Source organism: Homo sapiens, chromosome 7 (genome assembly GCF_000001405.40).
Source record: "Homo sapiens chromosome 7, GRCh38.p14 Primary Assembly".
Taxonomy (NCBI): domain Eukaryota; kingdom Metazoa; phylum Chordata; class Mammalia; order Primates; family Hominidae; genus Homo; species Homo sapiens.
This window is the reverse complement of record NC_000007.14, coordinates 16599493-16604720: the sequence shown is the minus strand read 5'-3', so window position 1 is coordinate 16604720 and position 5228 is coordinate 16599493. Positions and strand designations below refer to the sequence as shown.

At 38.0% G+C, this 5228-nt stretch overlaps 1 protein-coding gene across 1 annotated transcript in view; it reads left to right on the top strand.

The window, feature by feature from the left end:
* ANKMY2 (ankyrin repeat and MYND domain containing 2) overlaps positions 1-4942 on the top strand; it is a 45976-nt gene extending 41034 nt beyond the window's left edge. The window contains exons 9-10 of the mRNA NM_020319.3: positions 2212-2341; positions 3776-4942. Coding sequence (NP_064715.1) covers positions 2212-2341; positions 3776-3960 — 315 coding nt within the window. The 3' untranslated portion in view covers positions 3961-4942. The remainder of the gene's footprint in view (positions 1-2211; positions 2342-3775) is intronic.
* The last annotated feature ends 286 nt before the right edge of the window (positions 4943-5228 follow it).

Below are 5228 nucleotides of genomic sequence, written 5' to 3'. Positions count from 1 at the left end.
GTAAGAATGGAGTTCTTTTTATTTCATTGACCTCTGGTTTAGATGCAGCCAAGCTGATGATTGAGTTTTAATATTCTGTAAGAGTGGACATTAGTTTTCTAATAAATTCTAGTAACGAAAATATTCTATTTAATACTTAAAAAGTAGTTTTGGAAAAGAATTAATAGGATCAATATAGTTCTTTACTGTGTCTGTCTTCTGCTAAACTGCCAGTCTTCCTTTGCCTCTTTGCTGATCACCTCATGGAAAGAAAGGATATGAATGAATGAATATGAGAAAATAAGAGAAAGGTTTTCCGTGGGGCACGAGACCAAGGCTGGTGCAGATGTGAAACCTAGAATAGGACAGTTCATAAATATACATTCTTTACTCTTCTGATGTTGACTTTAATGACAGTGTCTTCATCAACATATCCTTGTAAAACTATAGTTTCTGACTGTTACCAGTCTTTAATCCCTATGGACTGTACTGCCCCCTTCTGCCAGAATTATCTTTGTAAAAGGCATATCTGATTGTGTTGTTCTCATATCCAGATACTGGACACATGCATGTGTCCGTACATTCACTTAATCCCATAGGTAGCATCAACTGCCTGTTGACTTTAAGGTTGAAATTCTCCAGCATGTTGTATGAAACCCATTATAATCTGCTGTGACCTACTTCTTCAGCTTCATCTTGTTTAATGACTTACTTCTCTGAACCTGTTTCCTGAATTAAATGAAATTCCAGAATTAAATCAAACTATTTATATTGGTTAATTATTACTGCTTATAAAAACACACTCAAACTCAGTGCTTAAAATGATAATCATTTAGTCTTTCTCTCACAGTTGTGGTTGGCTGTTCTCAGCTGGGGCAGTTGTGCTCCATGTGACTCTCATCCTTCTTGTACTAGCAGGCTAGGCTGAGCATGTTGTCATGGCAATAGCAAAGGTACACATGGGCAGGTAGAAACACAGAAGACCTCTCAAGGACTAGCCTTGAAATTGCCATGTTGTTTCATGCTGTTGGTTGAAACAAATTACATGGCCCAATCTGAAGTCAAGTCTCCTCCCCTTCAGTGCAGAGAACTTTGAAATCATGTGAGAAAGTGTATGAATGCAAGGATGAATGAAGAATTGGGGCCAATAATACAATATATGTATAAGGGCCTACCACAGTGCTTGGCATACAGTAAGTGTTTAATAACATTCATTCCCATCTCCTTTCCACCCCTACTTGCAAAAATATAAGGCCATTTACAAAAACTTCTTGCTGTTCTTGAACATATCATTCACTTCCCTGTTCCTGCATTTTTGTACTAGATATTTTCTCCAGTTAGAATTCTTCTTTCCCATTTTTCTGTCTACCTCGACTCACCACAGCTAGAGTGAGTTGCTGCTTCCTCTATGCCTCCATCACTCTTACATCCTGTACTGTGTTAAGAAATTATGTATTTAGGTGCCTGCCTCTCTCCCTTCTTCCATATCTTTCTTTTTCTTGATGCTAGCTACCTTTGGGACAACTCTATCTTCCTTGTCATTGTACTGTACCAATTCTGGCACATAGCGGGTTCATAATAAGCTATTTGCTAAAGTCTTTGGTAGACTGTTTGTTATATATTCATTATTGTTTTAAAGTAAAGCTACAAACTATAAATCTAAATCAATACAAAGATACTGTGTTAGGCCGTTCTTACGTTGCTATAAAGAAATACTTGAGACTGGGTCATTTATAAAGAAAAGAGGTTTAATGGGCTCACGGTTCTGAAGGTATACAGGAAGCATGGCATGGGCATCTGCTCAGCTTCTGGTGAGGTCTCAGGAAGCCTTCAATTATGGTGGAAGGTGAAGGGGGAGCAGGCATGTCACATGGCAGGAGCTGGAGCAAGAGGAGGTGGGGGAGTTGCCACATACTTTTGAACAACCAGATCTTGTAAGAACTCACTCAGTATTGTGAGGACAGCACCAAGGGAAGGGTGCTAAACTGTTCATGAGAAAACCGCCCCCATGATCCTATCACCTCCCACTAGGCCCCACCTCCAACATTTGGGATCACAATTCAGTATGAGATTTAGAGGGGACAACATCCAAACTATATCAACCACATATTATGGTTTTAAAATAAAGTATGGAAAATGACATTTTTATAGCTTAGTTCTTGGTTTAGTCATAGTTAGGAAATCATACAACCCAAGCTCTGGAAATGAAAATAAACCAACAATTGCTTTCAGGTAATATATTGTGATCAAACCTGCCAGAAAACACACTGGTTTACTCATAAGAAAATCTGTAAGAATCTGAAGGACATTTACGAAAAGCAACAGTTGGAGGCTGCCAAAGAAAAGAGACAAGAGGAAAACCGTATGTATATAAAAACCGAGTTCACTCTGCTTTTTAGTGGAGAGAGAGATGATAGGTGATCTTAACACACTGAAACTGCGTCTTCTCTGGAAGCCATAGGAGCTCAGGAGTGACCGATGTAAGAATCACATTTAAATTTTAATGTGTCCCGTTTTTAAGTTCTTAGGATATAGTCAGCCTGGACATCACTGGAAAACAGAGACATCAAATTCTGAGGGATGTAGCTTATTTCATATTTTACATTCTAGCTTAGGTTACTGCCCTGGAACAATGGGACCCTTAATGGGTATTAACTTATATTCTGCTCATGAAGGATTTTAAAGTCTTTGAATAAGGGAATTAATTAAATTTCCACTAATGGCTACCAGAAGATTTTAAGGGTGGAAGCCTTTAAATTCCTTAATTAAATTTCAGAACTACAGGTGAAATTACAGAGTATATTTATAAATCATTCATTAAATTGCAGATCTAATATACAGATCAAATTTCTACAAGTGTCATAGCAGTGAATTTTGTATTTTTTTTTCTCCATCCCTCTTGAGGTTTTGTGACCCATTTTCATCAGAAATAGTGAGTTGCTTCAGCAGTGATTATCAGATTGGAGAGGAGAACTGCCCCCACCCTCATGCCTCATTCCAGAGAATGTATCATATGTTCTGGGGGAGTGCATGTAATTTGAAAAAGATGCCTCGGTTATTCTGATACCAGGCATTTCTGCCTCCATCTCTCAAGGAACCATATCCGCTTTACTACTGGGTTGAGATATACTCTCAGTGGAATTAAATGGTTTGTACACAATTAAACCATTTATCCTTAAGAGAATAGTCAGGCTTTCTGACTGCCATGCCTTCTCTTGTTTTCTTGACCAAACTTTTTTATTCTATGTGCTAAGGACAGAAAGTAACAAATGTTCATTACTAACACACTATTGAGGGAGAATAAGATTGTCAGTAGAATGGGCACTCCCAGTTGTTAAGCATCATTCATGCACCAAACACTGCTCTAAATGTTACAGACAACTTTATTCTTCACCAATGTAGGATAGCCTTTATTACCTGCATATTATAGACAAGGGAAACAACTTCATGCAGGCAATTACCTCTCCAAGGACATCAAATAAATTCACAGAAAAGCTGTATTCAAATACAGGCTTTGTCAAATCCCAAGCAACAATCTTGATTTAGAGATGGCTTTGGAGCCAGCGGCCTGAGTTCAAATGCTGGTTCTGCTGTTTCACTAGCCAGGAAACTTGCAGCAAGCTACCAAACCTCTCTCTTCTCAGTTTTCTCATTTGTAAAATAACGTTAGCGATGACAGTAGAGATACTAATATACCTCATGTAGTTGATAGGAAGATTAAATAATACATGTAAAGCATTGAGAAGAGTGTCTGACACATGGTAGGAACAAAATAACTTCTTCTTTTTTTAATCAGACGGCAAACTTGATGTCAATTCTAACTGTGTTAATGAAGAGCAACCAGAGGCTGAAGTAGGTATCTCTCAAAAGGATTCCAATCCTGAAGATTCCGGGGAAGGAAAGAAAGAATCTCTTGAAAGCGAAGCTGAGTTGGAAGGCTTACAGGATGCTCCTGCAGGGCCACAGGTGTCTGAGGAGTAAAAGCCAGAGCAAGTGCCAGTGTGGATGATCCTCACCCTGCAAGAAGCTGGAAAACTCCTAGGAATGCATTGTCCTCACCTTGTTATACCTGCGTGGCACCATGGCAGGATTCCACATTTCATAGAATACAGGTTTTCAAGCAAACCCCTGTTGACCATGCCCTAATTTCCTATTGATTTCTGTTCTATAATTGAATGGATATTCCTATGGAAAATTTTTTGTTTCAAAATACAGGAAAAACATTCCTATTACCTTTCTGAGGCTGGCTTTCCAGCAATTGTTTCAAAGGAAAATAGATCCCCTTAAAGAAAAAATACAGGCTTTAGGGAACAAAGGGACAAGCAGAACAGGTGTGGAAGAGAGATTTTCAGGAAGGGAAAAATTTATAGCTACAGAGGGTAGTTAGAAAAATCATAACTTATATGTGAATAAAATACATATAAGCAGCATTTACGGTAGTGGCATTCTACTTATTAAGATGCAATGAAATGAAGAAAGGCTTTATGTTCAAGGACCTTTGCCATAGTTCAGCTAATTGTAGTTTTATATAGAAATGATCCTGAACACTCTGAACTTGACGTAGTCCTGCGGTGATATTCTATCTGCAGTATTTGTACCTCCAGAATGGCAGATCCCTCAGCAGGAACAAAGGCATATTGACGGTTCTCTCAGCGTATGCATTAAAAAAGGTACTTCCTGAAACTTTTGATTCAATAATGACTAAACATACTATGTACACAATTACTGTAAGGCTAATTCACGTGCCATACTCCACCTGAAAGCCTGAGTTATCTTGCTATAAGCTTTTCATGGAGCACTTCCTTTCCAGAAACTGATTTGTAACTCATTTAGAGAATGTCCTGGCGTCGGTTTTTAGCATATGTGGTATTTAAACAGAGCTAGAATGTGATGTCTGAAGATAATGCTGCATTTCTGGGTTTCTTGTGTGGATTTTAAAATAAATTGTGCCTACAAATATAAACAACTCATCTTGTTTTATAATTTGCTGGGGAGTGGCAAATATTAGAGAAGTATTAGAGAACTTAAAAAATAATAGGGAACTTGACAAATATTGGAGAACAGCAAAGTAATAATTATTTTAATATGTACAATTGCAGAACAAAATGACTAGAATTCTCACCTCACTTTGCTGATCAAATTCTATCTTGTGGATTTTGTTTGTTTGTTGGTTTGTTTTTGTTTTGAAATGGAGTTTGGCTCTTGTCGCCCACACGGGAGTGAAATGGCACTATCTCAAGCTCACTGTG